This window comes from Homo sapiens, chromosome 16 (genome assembly GCF_000001405.40).
Source record: "Homo sapiens chromosome 16, GRCh38.p14 Primary Assembly".
Lineage (NCBI taxonomy): Eukaryota > Metazoa > Chordata > Mammalia > Primates > Hominidae > Homo > Homo sapiens.
Genome location: NC_000016.10, coordinates 29,698,906 through 29,716,032, shown reverse-complemented (window position 1 = coordinate 29,716,032; position 17,127 = coordinate 29,698,906). Strand labels below are relative to the sequence as shown.

The window sequence follows — 17,127 nt, the reverse complement described above, 5'->3', positions numbered from 1 at the left end:
AAAGGTTGCTTTGGCCAGGTGCGGCAGCTCACACCTGTAATCCCAGCACTTTGGGAGGCTGAGGCGTGTGGATCATGAGGTCAGGAGTTTGAGACCCTGTCTCTACTAAAAATACAAAAATTTGTCAAGCGCAGTGGTGGGCGCCTGTAATCCCAGGCTGAGGCAGGAGAATCCCTTGAACCAGGGAGGCGGAGGTTGCAGTGAGCCAAGATTGCACCATTGCACTCCAGCCTGGGTGACAGAGTGAGACTCTATCACAAAAAAAAAAAAAAAAGCTGCTTTAACTTTTTGAGTGCAGTCCATTTAGTTAACTTTTGTTTTGCTTGATATTTGTGAATATGTCCATTCTTTATGAGTCCTGTACTTTTTTATTCCAATGTTACAATCTTCAAAGCTATTAAAAACCTGCATTTGAGAACACCTGTTAAAGTCCTTAATATAGCTTGATTATAAACCATTTTCTGAGAAGGAACGAAGCAAGACAACAATTGTTTGCGAATGACAAAATTTCCAGGACAGTTACAGTTAAATCTTTACAAATCTTTTATAACCTTTTTACCAAAGGACAGATTAGTGTTTTAGGAACTCCTTGCTATGCTTTTATTTCAATGCTCAATTTATGAAAAGACCATATAGATACTATGAGAGAAGACAGTGTAGTGTTTCTACCATGCATTTCATTGCAAGGCAACCCAAAGCCAATTGGCTTATTTTGGCAATTAGCCCATTCTGCATGGTAGTCTCATCTCTTTGTGGGGGGTGGGGATGTTTTTTAGGTGCCCAAGAGCATGCTTTTTTGATTTATAACTACTATTAGGCATCCTTTACAGTGTATTTTCTACCTAGTTATTACACATCAAAGCTCTTTTATAATGTGAAGTAATTTGATACCCCCAAAACTCAAAACGGTAGATAACACAATACATAACAGAACAGAGCCTTTGGTTTTGAGAGGGAACTATCAGCTTTTAATTTTGGGGGTTTCATGAGGAAAACAGGTTTTTTTTCCAAAACAGGGTTTGTGGCACCTCCTCTGTTTTTCCCAAGGAGTTCCATGCTGTCAGAAGTTGTCTTAGGGACTCTCATGCATGCATTAAGAGTGGTTAAGACAAAAATGGAGAAAAATAATTCAGTTGACTGAGAAGAGCCTTTTTCCAGAAAACAAGATTCAAGAAGAGAAAAACATAAAGGCCTTTTAAGTATACCTATAACTTGAATATCCACTTTTAATTAAGCTGAGTGCTCTAAGAAAAGCCTTCAAAATCCCTTGTTACTTGACTTTAGCCATGCCAAGCAGTTAAGATTTTTGGCTTTTGAGTTTTACAAAAAGTAACCTCACAGGTGAACCCAATGAGCCTTAATTAGGTTATGACTTATCCACAAGTGTACAAGGTATTTTCAAAGGAGTAATAGGCAGCTTTTGAAACTGTCATTGCAAAACTGAGACTGAGACAGTGAAAGAGAAGAGATCCGACCCAAACAACTCCATTTTGTTTCCAGCCCCCAAGCTGTCCTTGCCCATCCCTGGGTGTAGGCTGGACCAACTTTGGGAGGGGCGAGTTTACAGTTATTAAACTATAGACAGTTTATAGTTATTAAACTATAGATAGTTTAAAACTACAGTTATTAAACTATAGTTTATAGTTATTAAACTATAGATAGTTTATAGTTATTAAACTATAGATAGTTTATAGTTATTAAACTATAGATAGTTTATAGTTATTAAACTATAGTTTATAGTTATTAAACTAGTTTATAGTTATTAAACTATAGTTTATAGTTATTAAACTATAGTTTATAGTTATTAAGCTATAGTTTATAGTTATTAAACTATAGATAGTTTATAGTTATTAAACTATAGATAGTTTAAAACAAAGATGATATCAGCCCCTTCTTAAGATATACTTCCCTCTTGTCTGGGGACCAGACCAAGAAACTAGCCATAAGATTAAAAACCAGGCTGGGCGTGGTGGCTCACGCCTGTAATCCCAGCACTTTGGGAGGCCAAGGTGGGCGAATCACGAGGTCAGGAGTTCGAAACCAGCCTGGTCAACATAGTGAAACCCTGTCTTTACTGAAAATACAAAAGTTAGCCAGGTGTAGTGGTACACGCCTGTAATCCCAGCTACTTGTGAGGCTGAGGCAAAGAGAATCACTTGAACCTGGGAGGTGGAGGTTGCAGCAAGCTGAGATTGCGCCACTGCACTCCACCCTGGGCAACAGTGCAAGACTCCATCTCAAAAAAAAAATATATATATATATATATTTATATATTTTATATAATTATATATATTTATATATTTTATATAATTATATATAATTATATATATTTATATATTTTATATAATTATATATTTATATATTTTATATAATTATATATTTATATATTTTATATAATTATATATTTATATATTTTATATAATTATATATTTATATATTTTATATAATTATATATATTTATATATTTTATATAATTATATATAATTATATATTTTATATAATTATATATAATTATATATTTTATATAATTATATATAATTATATATTTTATATAATTATATATATTTATATATTTTATATAATTATATATAATTATATATTTTATATAATTATATATTAAATATATTAACTATATAATTATATATATTAATATATTTTATATAATTATATATTAAATATATTAACATATATAATTATATATTATATATTTTATATAATTATATATTAAATATATTAACATATATAATTATATATATTATATATTAATATATATAATATAAAATTATGTATATATATAATATAAAATTATATATATATATTGGAAACTATGGCTTAGGAGCTATGCATCTGGAGGCTACAAGATTTTGACACTCCCTAAACTACTCTTAAAATGAGTGTTTAAGATATTTTGTAAACCCTGCCCTTGATGGATCAGCTGGCACCACCCAGATTGACAAACCGACTTAATCTGATTTTGTGGCCCTCACCCAGAAACTGACTTAGCACCAGAAGACAGCCACCATTATGAAATGGTGGAGACTCAAACAAAGTATTGCCACGTGGTTACAGGTCATGTTTCCAAGGACATGAAACAAGATGAAGGCTTATAGCCAATTTTGTTAGTGACGATTTTGTTGGGCTCGCTCAAACACCAGGCTTATGGGGTCCTAGGCCTGCATCCTAACCTAAGATACCCTTTCTTAGGGAAAGACATGCAAAGCACACCAGATTGTTTACAGCTTAAGACCAACCTCACAAATCCTTTTTTATGAATTAGAAATTTACAGAGAATATAAACAATGATCCTTATTATCCCTTTTACCGGTTTGCACAGGGAGAAGCCAAAAGCCCATCTGGTAAGAAATGTTTACCCTTTTGCCAGCATACCAGGCTTCTGTGTTCCCTTCCCCCTAGCTCAACTCTAAGCCAAGCATTTTAACGTTTGGAAAAATAACTTTTCCCAGGTTGGAAGAACATTATAAAAGAGATAGAAGCCATTTTAAACCGTGAAAGAAGGAAAAACACCATAGAAAGGAGTGACAAATAGGGTTGCCAAGAGGTATTGCCTCTTTTCCTATTGGAAATATTGTTTCCCCTATTTCTTTGCCTTCCCTATTTTTTCTTTTCCCTTTTGGCCTACTATAGGAGACCTATTGCTTATCTCCAAAATTTTCTTCTGCTTGCAGAGCTGCCTGTTTTAACTGCAGTTAGGGTTTGGCTTAAGAGCAGCATAACATTCCTCCATGAGAGGTTAAATACCTGAGTTAAATTGTGGAAAACTTCTGTATACCTATCAGGGTCATTAGAAGATTGGACAGGCGCAGTGGCTCACGCCTGTAATCCCAGCACTTTGGGAGGCTGAGGCGGGTGGATCATCTGAGGTCAGGAGTTCAAGACCAGCCAAACCAACATGGTGAAACTGTCTCTACTAAAAAAACAAACAAACATAAAATTAGCTGGGCATGGTGATGCACGCCTGTGAATCCTAGCTACTTGGGAGACTGAGGCAGGAGAATTGCTTGAACCCGGGAGGTGGAGGTTGCAGTGAGTCAAGATCACGCCATTGCACTCTAGCCTGGGCAACAAGAGCAAAACTATGTTTCAAAAAAAAATAAAGAAAGAAAGAAAATTGGCCTAAGTCTCCCTTTACTTGCCTAAGGTCCTAAATAATGAGAAAGGAACTTGAAGGGGCCCCAAATAAAGGAATCCTCAGGTGGTTCCCCTAGAACTGGCTTCTCTAATTTTGGGTAATCATTCTCTTTGGGCCTGCCTGATGTGATTGCTAAAAGAGCTAGGTTGATTTTGCAACGCTTGCAGAAGTTTAGTAAAAAGGCCACGCCCAGCCGGGGGCAGTGGCTCAGGCCTGTAATCCCAGCACTTTGGGAGGCCTAGATGGGTGGATCACGAGGTCAGGAGATTGAGACCATCCCGGCTAACACAGTGAAACCCCGTCTCTATTAAATATACAAAAAAAGTTAGCCGGGCGTGGTGGCGGGCGCCTGTAGTCCCAGCTACTCGGGAGGCTGAGGCATGAGAATGGTGTGAACCCGGGAGGTGGAGCTTGCAGTGAGCCGAAATCGAGCCACTGCACTCCAGCCTGAGTGACGGAGCAGGACTCCGTCTCAAAAAAAAAAAAACAAAAAAAACAAAAAAAAAACAAAAACAAATACGCCATGCCCTTGTGTAAAAGAAAATAAGCCACTTTTTCTTCAAAGTTTCAGAGTTGAAGGAGTCCCAGTGCTTTAAAATACACTCGAGGGCAGTGCATGTTATACATGATCTAATTCCCATCTAGAAAGAGAAGTGAGAATAAAAGCGTTCTTTTAGTCTCCTTCCTTTTGGTATGTGATCCAGGTTGGAGACAAAAGCAGTAGGGGGAGTTCCCCCAACTATCTTCTCTCCGTGGTTTCTGGATTCCCAGCACCTATTTAAATGGGCCACCAGTGACCTGTGACTGCAGGCGTGACCCTCCAAGCCATGACATCAGAGGAACTCAACTTTTGAGCCTTAGTCACGCTTTCCCCAAGCAGCCTTAGTCCTCTGCCTTTTATTTCTCTTTGACCTTCCAGACTTGTGTGGCCTTTGTGCCTTCCTAAAAAAATGGATTTCAAGAAAAATCATGTAATTGGGCAAGACCCCTTTAAGGCAGGGGGCATGCTAGATTGAACTCTAAATCCTGCTATTATGGCCTATGATAAAACATTTACCCATAGGAAAATGGTTCCGGTTAACTTCCAGACTTAAAATTTCCCTACTAATTAAGTACTATCTTAACTGGAGACAGAATAGGTGCCTTAAAAGAACGTAGGAAGCAAATGGCCAATTTCTACTGATGGGACAATATTAGGACTAAAATCTGGCTGCAGAAGACATTTGACTCCTGTTAAAAGCAGAGCCTTCCCGTTCACAGAAATAGCAGTAAAAAAGCGCAAAATAGAAAAATTGCGAAGCTGCAATGTACCGTAGAGAACCAGCAATGTGTCTCATGAAGAGGATTTTTATTGCCACTAGGTGGCTTAGAAATACCACGTGCTCACCAGAGAAACCATAGAGAAACGTTTATTGAGTTACTGGCTGCCGTGATTCACCATCTCTTCTAGCAGACCTGTTTCCCTGAACTGTAAAGATCCCTGCACATTAGACACACAGAGAGGGTAAGAGACCATGGATAGAGACAGAAAGAAAATTTGGCCACAGGATAGTTGAGGATTCTCTGCCAACACCCGGCTGTCGGAGGCTGCGTCCGGTCCAGAGGCCCTTGAATCATGCCAGAGTGTGCCCTGACCAGAAATTCTCAGTTACCTCAGAAGTTTTCCCAGCCTCGCATGATGGCAAGGTCTCCCTGTGAAAATGTGGAATATGATGAGGTTTCTCTTCAAATAATCTCATCAATCTTTCATTCTTTAATTCATTGTACCCCCCCCCTTTTTTCTCCTTCTTTCTCCTTTTCCATTTTGCCTTTGTTAGATGCCCAGGCACACCACAGTACCAAGCGTTATCAGTACCAGCTCACATTCCTTTCCTTATTTGGAAAAATGACTAACTTTCTAGCTCATTACAGACACCCCTTCCCCTTCCTCTCCACTTGTTTTTACGTGCCCACCCTATCTTAAAAAATGAAATGTTTAGCCAACCGGGATTAGTTTAGATTGTATGACCCAACCCCAGCCAATGAGGAAAGGGTACAGGGGCAGGACTTCCATCGCAAATAAAGGCTCTCATGCCCCTTTGTTCAGGTGTGCTCTCATGGCAACTGGCCAAGGAGGCAACCCTCTGTGCAGAAGTAAAATTGCTTTGCTAAGAATCCTTTGTTCGAGTGTTCAATTTCCTTAGGATTTTGAGCGTTATCCCTAACAAAAAGAAGCTAGTTCAAACATGGCCAAAATTCCCAGTACCTGTGGGTAATGGGGGATTCTCCAAGTTCTCCCCAGCAAGCCTCACATCCGAGTCTTTAGTACGGCAGCCAATGCTAAGCCTATGTATTAGGCTGACGGACGCCCGTTTGATTTATTTTAATATAGAGGCTAAGAGCGCCTCGTAATGATAGAACAGATTTTAGGATTGCTCCCATACTCACCACTCCAACGAAGGCTGTACTTTGGATTTTCCTGGCCCATGCACCAAAATGATACGGCTCTGATGAGTGGAGGGGCACCAGGGCTCTTGTCTCATGCAAATTGGATAAAATGACACAGATACACGTGTAGTGGTATTAAGAAGTGGAGAGTTTAATAGGCAAGAAAGAAGGGAGAAGAAGAAAAGAAGAAGGCACCCCCGTACAGAGACAGAGGGAGGGGGGCTCCAAAGCCAAGAGAGGAGACCACAAATGCGGGGCATACCAACCGGGTATATGAGGAGGCTGGAGGAGGTGTTGTCTAATTTGCATAGGGCTTAGGGGATTGGTTTAACCAGGCATGTCATTCATATAGCCCACGAAAAAACTGGCCCTCTCACCCTAGCCTTTTAAGATGCAAATGCAGGGCACCATGATGTTTTACACAGGTGGGGGATATGTAGGGGTAGCCATTTGCCAGGCACATGTGGGGGCAAGGGCAAGAGGACAACGGTGGGAATCGCCATGTTTGGGTGGACCCAGTTTCTAATGGTCTGCATTTGCATATCAAATGTTGCTGGCTGGGCTCTAAGAGCCAGGGCTTTCCTGGTAAACCAGAAACGTTTCTGGAGTTGCTTTAAAAGAAACAACTTTCCAAGGACCCCTTTTCCTCTCCATCTGCCTAAAGTAATTTTTTAATAACTTCTATAAGTACATGAAAAGATGTTCAACATCATCAATCATTAGGAAAATACAGATCAAAACCACAATTAGGTACTGCATCACACTCACTAGGATGGCTATAATTAAAAAGATGGACAATAACAAGTGTTGACAAGGATGTGGAGACATAGGAACCCTTGTGCATTGCTAGTGGAATGTACAAGCAGCAGCTTTGAAAACCAGTGTGGCAGTTCCACAAAAAGTAAAACATGACTTTTTTTTTTGAGACGGAGTCTCGCTCTGTTGCCCAGGCTGGAGTGCAGTGGCGCAATCTCTGCTCACTGCAAGCTCCGCCTCCCGGGTTCACTCCATTCTCCTGCCTCAGTCTCCCGAGTAGCTGGGACTACAGGCGCCTACCACCACGCCTGGCTAATTTTTTGTATTTTTAGTAGAGACGGGGTTTCACCGTGTTAGCCAGGATGGTCTCTATCTCCTGACCTCGTGATCCGCCCGCCTTGGCCTCCCAAAGTGCTGGGATTACGGGCGTGAGCCACCGCACCCAGCCAACATGATTTTCTAATTCTATTCCTAGGTATACACCCAAGAGAAATTGAAAACGTGTGCCCACACCAAAACCAGTACATGAATTTTCATAGCAGCATAATTCATAATAGCCAAAACGTAGAAACAACCCACATGTCCATCAACTGAAGCATGGGTAAAGAAAATGTAGTATATCCATGCAATGGAAACCATTAAAAGGAATGAAGTACAGACAACATGGATGACCCTCAGAAACATGCTGAATGGAAGAAGCCAGGCACAAAAGGCCATGTGTTGTATGCTTCTGTAGCAGAACGAGCCGCAGACAAAACCTCTCAGACACCAAGTTGTAGAAGGAAAGGCTTTATTCAGCTGGGAGCATCAGCAAGCAACTGCCTTAAAATCCGAGCTCCCAGAATGCACAATTTCTGTCCCTTTTAAGGGCTCACAACACTAAAGATTTCACATGAAAGGGTCGTGATTGATTTGAGCAAGCAGGCGGTATGTGGCAGGGGCTGCATGCACCGGTGGTCAGAGAGAAACAGAACAGGGCAGGGAGTTTCACAGTGTTCTTCTATACAGTGTCTGCAATCTATGAATAACATTGGTTTCTAAGTTATGAGTTGATTTTTAACTACTGGGTTTAGGCCAGGCAGGCCCAGGCCTGGTTTCGGGCCTGGCGCCGGGCTGCCTGTCTTTGATTTTACTTTCTTGTTGTTTTTTCTTAAAACAGGTACTGAGTATAAAACAATATAAAACAATATGAGAAGTTCTCTCTTCCCTCAATTCTATGTAGATAAAATCCATCAAGACAGAAAGTAGAATAATGGTTGCCATTGGCTGAGAGGAGGGAGATGTACTTGATATCACAAGAAGGGAGTTTCTTTCTGGAGTTATTTTATTTATTTATTTATTTATTTATTTATTTATTTATTTTGAGACAGAGTCTCACTCTGTCACCCTGGCTGGAGTGCAATGGCACAGTCTCAGCTCACTGTAACCTCCGCCTCCCAGGTTCAAGCAATTCTCCTGCCTCAGCCTCCTGAGTAGCTGGAATTACAGGCATGCATCACCATGCCTGGCTAATTTTTGTGTTTTCAGTAGAGATGGGGTTTTACCGTGTTGGTCAGGCTAGTCTCGAACACCTGACCTCGTGGTCCACCTGCCTCAACCTCCCAAAGTGTTGGGATTACAGGCATGAGCCACTGCGCCCAATCTTTCTGGGATTATTAAGATGTTCTTTTGGCCGGGAACGGTGGCTTACGCCTGTAATTCCAGCACTTTGGGAGGCCGAGGCGTGCGGATCACGAGGTCAGGAGATCGACACCATCCTGGCTAACACGGTGAAACCCCATCTCTACTAAAAATACAAAAAAAATTAGCCAGGCGTGGTGGCAGGTGCCTGTAGTCCCAGCTACTCGGGAGATGGAGGCAGGAGAATGGCGTGAACCCAGGAGGTGAGCCGAGATTGCGCCACTGCACTCCAGCCTGGGCAAGAGAGCGAAACTCTGTCTCAAAAAAAAAAAAAAAAAAAAGGATGTTCTTTTTTTTTTTTTTTTTTTTTTTTTTTAAGAAGGGGTTTTGGCCAGGAGTGGTGGCTCATGCCTGTAATCCCAACACTTTGGGAGGCTGAGGCAGGCAGATCATGAGGTCAGCAGTTCGAGACCAGCCTGGCCAATGTGGTGAAACCCCGTCTCTACTGAAAATACAAAAAATTAGCTGGGCGTGGTGGTGGGCGCCTATAGTCCCAGCTACTCAGGAGGCTGAGGCAGGAGAATCGCTTGAACCTGGGAGGTGGAGGTTGCAGTGAGCCTAGACTGCGCCATTGCACTCCAGCCTGGGCGACAGAGCGAGACTCCATCTAAAAAAAAAAAAAGAAGGGGTCTTACTCTGTTTCCCAGGTTGGAGTGCAGTGGTGCAATCACAGCTCGCTGCTGCCTCGAGCTTCTGGCCTCAAGCAATCCTCTTACCTCAGCGTCCCAAGTAGCTGGAACCACAGGTGTGTGCCATCTTGCCCAGCTCATTTTTAAATTTTTTGGTAGAGAGCGAGTCTCACTATGTTGCCCAGGCTGGTCTCAAAAATTCCTGGCCTTGAGTGATCCCCCCCACCTCAGCCTCTCAAAGGGCTGGGATTACAAGTGTCAACCACTGTGCCCAGCCTGAACCCTTTAAAGCAGTGAAGTATATGCGATGTAAATTATATCTGAATTTTAAAAACGATGCTTCAGGCCAGGCGCAGTGGCTCACGCCTGTAATCCCAGCACTTTGTGGAGTTTTTTGCTTTTTTTTTTTTTGAGATGGAGTCTCACTCTGTCGTCCAGGCTGGAGTACAGTGGCACCATCTCGGCTCACTGCAACCTCCGCCTTCCAGGTTCAAGCGATTCTCCTGCATCAGCCTCCCAAGTACCTGGGATTACAGGCATGCACCACCACGCCTGGCTAATTTTTTGTATTTTTAGTAGAGAAGGGGTTTCACCGTGTTAGCCAGGATGGTCTGGATCTCCTGACCTTGTGATTTCCACCCGCCTCAGCCTCCCAAAGTGCTGGGATTACAGGCGTGAGCCATCATCCCCGGCCAGTCCCAGCACTTTGGAAGGCCAAGGTGGGTGGATCATTTGAGATCAGGAGTTTGAAACTAGCCTGGCCGACATGATGAAACCCCACCTCTACTAAAAATACAAAAATTAGTTGGGCATGGTGGCGGGTGCCTGTAATCCCAGCTACTCGGGAGGCTGAAGGGGGAGAACTGCCTGAACCCAGGAGGCGGAGGTTGCAGTGAGCCAAGATCACACCTCTGCCCTCCAGCCTGGGTGACACAGTGAGACTCTGTCTCAATAAATAAATAAATACAAGTAAAAAAATAAAAATAAAAACAATGCTTCAAGAAAAGGGGATTAAATATATCATTTAAAGTTATGATGATAACTAGTAGGAAGACTACCAATAAAAACAGCACAAAAAAAAAGAAGAAAAAAAGAATGAGTGAGATACATTCTTTGTTCTTCACATCAGGGAGTCAATAGTGCTTAAAACCACAAATGATCATCTTTTCCACTCAAGTGTAGATGCCAGGAGGACTAAAAACACAGAGCTCCTTAAACGTGGTTACCTCATGGGAATGAGAGTGAATGGATATTTTTTACTTTTTCATTTTGTACTCTGATAACTAAATTAATTAACGAAAAGCAAGAGGAGGTGGATAAGTTAACTATGCTAGAAAATTTATGAATGGACTTTATTGTTCTATTTTTATTTTTATTTATTTATTTTTTTGAGACCGAGTTTCACTCTTGGTGCCCAAGCTGGAGTGCAATGGCGCGATCTCGACTCACTGCGACCTCTGCCTCCTGGGTTCAAGCGATTCTCCTGCCTCAGCCTCTCGAGTAGCCGGGATTACAGGTGTGCGCCACTACGCCTAGCTAATTGTTTGTATTTTTAGTAGAAACGGGGTTTCACCATTTTCACCAGGCTGGTCTCAAATTCCTGACCTCAGGTGATCTGCCCTCCTCGGCCTCCCAAAGTGCTGGGATTACAGGTGTGAGCCACTGCGCCTGGCCCTATTTTGATTATTATACGCAGAGGGTCACTGAATTGTTGACTCAGGTCATGTAAGCAGCTCTTCTGCATCTTCTGTGCTTTCCCCAATGAATGTTTCATTCACTGGAATTAATTAGGTTGGAATGGAAAGTGCAGGACTTGGTTTAGTCCTCAAAATCTTACATCCTTTGGGGAAGTTACTATACCAATAATCTAAAAATGTATTCACTATAATCCTCCACCTAAAAGGCTGCCAAACCGCAGCAAATTCCCTTTCTGGTTCACAGCTTATTAAGAAAACTAAGCAGATCATGCAGAAAATAAAAATTAAATATTTTTTGTTTCTTAGATTATAGTTAAGGGGCTTTTTTGAGATGAAGTTTTGCTCTTGTTGCCCAGGCTGGAGTGCAATGGTGTGATCTTGGCTCACAGCAACCTCCACCTCCAGGGTTCAAGCGATTCTCCTCTCTCAGCCTCCTGAGTAGCTGGGATTACAGGCATGCGCCACCACACCCAGCTAATTTTGTATTTTTAGTAGAGATGGGGTTTCTCCATGTTGGTCAGGCTGGTCTTGAACTCCTGACCTCAGGTGATCCACCCTCCTTGGCTTCCCGAAGTGTTGGGATTACAGGCATGAGCCACTGCGCCTGGCCTCAGTTAAGGGACTTTTTACATATTTATTTATTTATTTATTTATTATTATTTTGAGACGAAGTCTCGCTGTTGTTCTCCAGGCTGGAGTGCAATGGCACGACCTTGGCTCACTGCAACCTCCGCCTCCCGGGTTCAAGCGATTCTCCTGTCTTGGCCTCCCAAGTAGCTGGGATTACAGGCGCCTGCCATCATGCCTGGCTAATTTTTGTATTTTTAGTAGAGACGGGGTTTCACCATTATGGCCAGGCTGGTCTTGAAGTCCTGACTTCAGGTGATCTGCCTGCCTCGGCCTCCCAAAGTGCTGGGATGACAGGTGTGAGCCACCACACTCGGCCTTTATTTATTATTTTCGAGACAGGGTATCTCTCTGTCGCCCAGGCTGGAGTGCAGTGGTGCAGTCACGGCTGGTTGCAGCCTCAAACTCCTGGGCTCCAGCAATTCTCCTGCCTCAGCCTCCTGGGTAGCTGGAACTACAGGTGCAAATTATCATGCCTGGCTAATTTTTAAATTTTTTGTCAAGATGGGGTCTCTCTATATTGCCCAGGCTGGTCTCAAACTCCTGGCCTCAAGTGATCTCCCTTCTGGGCTTCAAAAAGTGCTGGGATTATAAGTATGAGCCACCACCTCCGGCCTTCCCTCCTTCCTTCCTTCCTTTCTGCCTTCCTTCCTTCCTTTCTCAAAAAAAAAAAAAAAGAAGTCAGTGTTGTCTGACTGGTATTGTCTGATTACCTGCATATATTGATATATTATTCCAATAAAGATGCTTGCTTTTTCCTTTGGTTAAAAAGTATCCGGCCAGGCGCGATGGCTCACGCTTGTAACCCCAGTACTTTGGGAGGCTGTGGTGGGCGGATCACCTGAGATCAGGAGTACGAGACCAGCCTGGCCAACATGGTAAAACCCCATCTCTACTAGAAATACAAAAATTAGCTGAGTGTAGTGGCACGCACCTGTAATCCCAGCTACTTGGGAGGCCAAGGGAGAAGAATTGTTTGAACCCGGGAGGCAGAGGTTGCAGTGAGCCAAGATCACACCATTGCACTCCAGCCAGGGCGACAAGAGAGACTCTGTCTCAAAAAAAAAAAAAAAAAGCATCCAAAACCCTGGCACGGTGGCTCACCGCTGTAATCCCAGTTACTTGGAAGGCCAAGGCAAGAGAATCACTTAAGGACAGGAGTTCAGGACCAGCCTGTGCAACATAGCAAGACTCCTGCTTAAAAAAAAAAAAAAGTGTCCGAATATCTAGAATAATGCAACTTGTGGGATAGCTCCTTCTTGTTGCTAAGGCTCCTGAATCTTTTAGCTGAAGAACTAGGAGAGAGGAAAGAGGTTATCCAAGGACCCACTGAACTAGAGGTATGTATTATGATTTTTTTGCCCTTGATAATTTTCTGGGGGTGCTATACTAGAGTCCCATGATCTGAAGCGCAAGGCGTACCTGAAATAAATAAAGCCTGCGTTATCTGGCCTAAATCTGATGTGCACAGTGACGGATGGAGATGTTATTCACAGCCACACAGGCAGATTTTCTTCAGTACTTCGGTCTTAGAATGCTGAGCTACTTAGGGCCTCCGGAAGCAGGTCTTAAATGTTGCTGAGTAATTGGCAAAACAATCAATTACTCAGGAAGTCATTGGAACAAAGTATAGAGGCGGTGAACATTTACATAATTTTACCCACCTGGTTGTCTTGAAGGGCTAGCCATAAATTAATGTATGTGTCCGCAGCATAATGCCACAGCGGGATTTTTTTAAAGATCCGACGTTGAATTGTTTGCAGATAGTTGGTTTGCTAAGAATGTCTCGCCGTTGTGTTTTTTGTTTGTTTGCTCTGGGTTTTTTTTGGGACAGAGTCTCACTCTGTCGCCCAGGCTGGAGTGCAGTGGCATGATCTCGGCTCACTGCAACCTCTGCCTTTGAGGTTCAAGTGATTCTTGTGCCTCAGCTTCCTGCGTAGCTGGGTTACAGGCACCCGCCACTACGCCTGGCTAATTTTTGTGGGTTTTTTGTTTTTGTTTTTTGAGACAGAGTTTCGATCTTGTTCCCCGGGGTGGAGTGCAGTGGTGTGATCTCGGCTCATGGAAACCTCCGCCTCCCGGGTTCAGCGATTCTCCTGCCTCAGCCTCCCAAGTAGCAGTAGCTGGTACTACAGGCACATGCCACCACGCCCAGCTAAGTTTGTATTTTTAGTAGAGAAGGGATTTCCCCATGTTGGTCAGGCTAGCTTTGAACTCCTGACCTCAGGTGATCCACCTGCCTTGGCCTCCCAGAGTGCTGGGATTACAGGCGTGAGCCACCGTGCCTGGCCTTGCTGTTTTTAAATGCTTTTACCTTTCACGGCCTCAGCACACTAAAACTCATATCCACTGAGGTGACTCACTGTCAATCTGGTTTGACCTCTTGCCATCTTTGACCTCTAGATTGAGTGCCCCAGTTCTGGGCTTCTGTAGCATCGGATGGTGGGTGGGCGGAGGGGTGGGAAGAGTGATGAGTGGATGGAAGCACAAGGGGGTGGATAGGATGGGTCGGGGGTGGACAGGATGGGTCGGGGGTGGACAGGATAGATGGGGGTGGACAGGATGGGTGGGGGTGGACAGGATGGATGGGTGTATTACCGAAACGCCAGGGATTCAGTCTAGGTCCCATTGCTTACTGCACAGAAAGCTGATCTGGGATCCCGGGACAATGAGTATCGCCAGGAAAGAAGGCTTTATTCAGATGACATCTGCCAAGGAGACAGGAGATAAGTCTCAAATCCATCTCTCCAACAAACTCCAATTGGGGGTTTATATAGTGGGGAGCAAATGTAGCTGTGGGTGGGAAAACAGGAATTAGAGGGGGGTAAAGAAAAGGAGTTTCAGTTCCTTGATGCTATCTGGGAGGCCTGAGGGTCAGTTTCCTGGGGAAGGAACTCAGATAAGGCAAATTTAAGTTTCAAGCTTTAAGACCAGGAATGTCAATTTCTGTGTTTATCCAAAAAAAAAAAAAAAAAAAAAAAAATCTATGGGACAATTTGGCCAGTTTCCGGTGGGCAGGACAGCAGGTGGAAGGGGCGAGGGGCGCGGGTGGGTGGGTGAGGAGGAGGACAGGCATCAGGTGAGCGGATGGATGGGGTTGGTGGGTAACCCAGACAGTATTTGGGAGGGGATGGGTGGCTGGGAGTGAATGTGAGTAGCTGGTGAATCTGGAGTACACGGGGCTTTGAAAAGTCACAGGGGTACCCTGGGCAGTTGGATGGGGGTCTGATGAGGGGATGAGGCTGGAAAAGTGGGTGGAGAAAAAACTGCTGCCAATGCCTCCTCGCGTTGATTCTTGAGCAGATGCTATGCTGCGTATTCATAGCCTCCTTGGCTATTGCCTTCGGAATCCGGAAAGGGAGCTGGAATTAGAGACGAACGGAGGGCCGCGTGGTTGCAGTGCCCTCTGGTGGCCATCAGGGGTGGCCATCAGGACAATTGGTGTCTACATATTTTCCTTAAGTATTTTTTCATTGTCTATTCTTCCCCGCCCCCACCCCAACCCCAACATACAGACTCCCTGAGGACAGAGATTTTTATCTGTTTACTCGTTGTATGTTCATTGTCTAGAATAGTGCCTGGCACACAGTAGATGCTCAGTTAAATATTGAATGAGTGAATGACACAATTCAAACTGCTCCACCACTTTATATATTTATTTATTTATTTATTTTTGTTTGAGACAGGGCCTCTGTCACCCAGGCTGGAGTGCAGTGGTGCAGTCACAGCTCACTGCAGCCTCAACTGCCCAGGCTTAAGCGATCCTCTCACCCCAGTCTCCTGAGTAGCTGGGACTACAGGTGTGCACCACCACAGCTGGATAATTTTTTAAAAATAGAAATTGAGTCTCACTATGTTGCCCAGGCTGGTCTTGAACTCCTGGGCTCAAGTGATCCTCCTGCCTCAGCCTCCCAAAGTGCTGAGATTACAGGTGTGAGCCACCATGACTGGCCTCCACCACTTTATTGATGAGTGACCCTAAGCAGCTCTCTTAACTTTATAAAGCCTCAGTCTCCTCTTCGGTAAGTGGAGAGGCTAACGCCCGCCCCCACGAGCATTAACTGAGGGAAGGGGACCTGCACACCCTGGATGAAGGTGCTCCCTGCTAGCTCCCGTCTCATGCAGTAGCCAGCATTGCTGGCACATCCCGTACTCACAACAGCATATCATTTTCATTAAACAAACTGCTATGATGGGCACATTTGCCATTGTCTGTGGGGCATCCTGGGGAAATGATCCCAGCTTGGTCCTAGGCTGGCCAGGCAAAGAGGAAGTGTAGCCAGATGGACAAGGGACTGGGAGGTGATGCATAAGAGTCCTTGCCTGCCACGCATGCCCCATTTCCCCACCCCCTCAGTCACACCCAACTCTTCCAACTGCCTTGAGCCATCGAACTCCCTCTGCCTTCTGAAGCTCTGAAGACACTGTATCACTTCTCTCCAAACCCCATGGCCATGACCCACACTCAAGTCCTCTTCCACAGCTCCTCCTGGCCTCCCTGCAGCTGCTCTAGCCCCCTCAAATGCATCCTTCTGCAACGGACTGGATTGAAGCTGCGAATAAGCTTATCTGATTTTCCAGCTTGATTTCCAGCTCACTCATGAGACAGAGTCCAAATCCTCCGATCTACCATTTTGTGGTCTGGACCCAGCCCATCTCCTAGCCACCTCCTGATCACAGCTTCAAATCTTACAGCAAACAATCCAAGCCACCTCTGCCCATGCATCTCCCCTGCCTGGAAATCCATTTCCCTGCAAGGAGGGCGTGTGTTGCCCTAGAGTGCCCAGGATCCATTTCCTGTTCCCCCAGTAATGGAGTGCCCGCCCCAGCTCTCAGAGCTGGAGGATACTGGAGGGCTAACCCATTTCTGGGTTTAGGGGGAGCTTAAGACTCAGGCAGGCAGGTTCCTTTCGCTTTTTTAATGGAACGCTGTGGCTGCAACGAGCATTTTCCAGTTGGCCACAGCGCACCCCCACTTTGTCTTATTCCAGTTCCACCCATTTATTTTATCCGAATAGGTCCTGGAGGCACCGAGTTTGCAGCTCCTGGTACCCTCTCCTCACTTCTGCTCTGTCAGGCCCCAATGCCTGCCCAGATCCCAGATCCCAGTTCCCAGATCACCCCGGGGCTCAACTTTCCTCCCTTGATGCCCAGTGGAACC

At 44.2% G+C, this 17,127-nt stretch overlaps 7 annotated features.

The window, feature by feature from the left end:
• Positions 3,394–3,975: an enhancer, noted in NCBI's record as "H3K27ac-H3K4me1 hESC enhancer chr16:29723379-29723960 (GRCh37/hg19 assembly coordinates)". NCBI's record gives its function as "activates a minimal SCP1, AML or CMV promoter by ChIP-STARR-seq in naive H9 embryonic stem cells {active_cell/tissue: H9 hESC(naive)}" and the evidence as "EXISTENCE:reporter gene assay evidence [ECO:0000049][PMID:30033119]".
• Positions 5,722–6,303: an enhancer, noted in NCBI's record as "NANOG-H3K27ac-H3K4me1 hESC enhancer chr16:29721051-29721632 (GRCh37/hg19 assembly coordinates)". NCBI's record gives its function as "activates a minimal SCP1, AML or CMV promoter by ChIP-STARR-seq in primed H9 embryonic stem cells {active_cell/tissue: H9 hESC(primed)}" and the evidence as "EXISTENCE:reporter gene assay evidence [ECO:0000049][PMID:30033119]".
• Positions 6,304–6,885: an enhancer, noted in NCBI's record as "OCT4-NANOG-H3K27ac-H3K4me1 hESC enhancer chr16:29720469-29721050 (GRCh37/hg19 assembly coordinates)". NCBI's record gives its function as "activates a minimal SCP1, AML or CMV promoter by ChIP-STARR-seq in primed H9 embryonic stem cells {active_cell/tissue: H9 hESC(primed)}" and the evidence as "EXISTENCE:reporter gene assay evidence [ECO:0000049][PMID:30033119]".
• Positions 8,226–8,275: a silencer, noted in NCBI's record as "silent region_7331". NCBI's record gives its function as "represses an Ori minimal core promoter by ATAC-STARR-seq in GM12878 lymphoblastoid cells {active_cell/tissue: GM12878}" and the evidence as "EXISTENCE:reporter gene assay evidence [ECO:0000049][PMID:35858748]".
• Positions 13,615–13,714: an enhancer, noted in NCBI's record as "active region_10667". NCBI's record gives its function as "activates an Ori minimal core promoter by ATAC-STARR-seq in GM12878 lymphoblastoid cells {active_cell/tissue: GM12878}" and the evidence as "EXISTENCE:reporter gene assay evidence [ECO:0000049][PMID:35858748]".
• Positions 15,033–15,635: a transcriptional cis regulatory region, noted in NCBI's record as "candidate enhancer chr16.2261 targeted for multiplex CRISPR interference". NCBI's record gives its function as "positively regulates YPEL3 gene expression with high confidence in K562 cells {active_cell/tissue: K562}" and the evidence as "EXISTENCE:mutant phenotype evidence [ECO:0000015][PMID:30612741]".
• Positions 16,406–16,580: a silencer, noted in NCBI's record as "fragment chr16:29710774-29710948 (GRCh37/hg19 assembly coordinates)". NCBI's record gives its function as "represses an EF-1alpha promoter that drives an FKBP-Casp9 reporter gene in an ReSE screen in HepG2 liver carcinoma cells {active_cell/tissue: HepG2}" and the evidence as "EXISTENCE:reporter gene assay evidence [ECO:0000049][PMID:32094911]".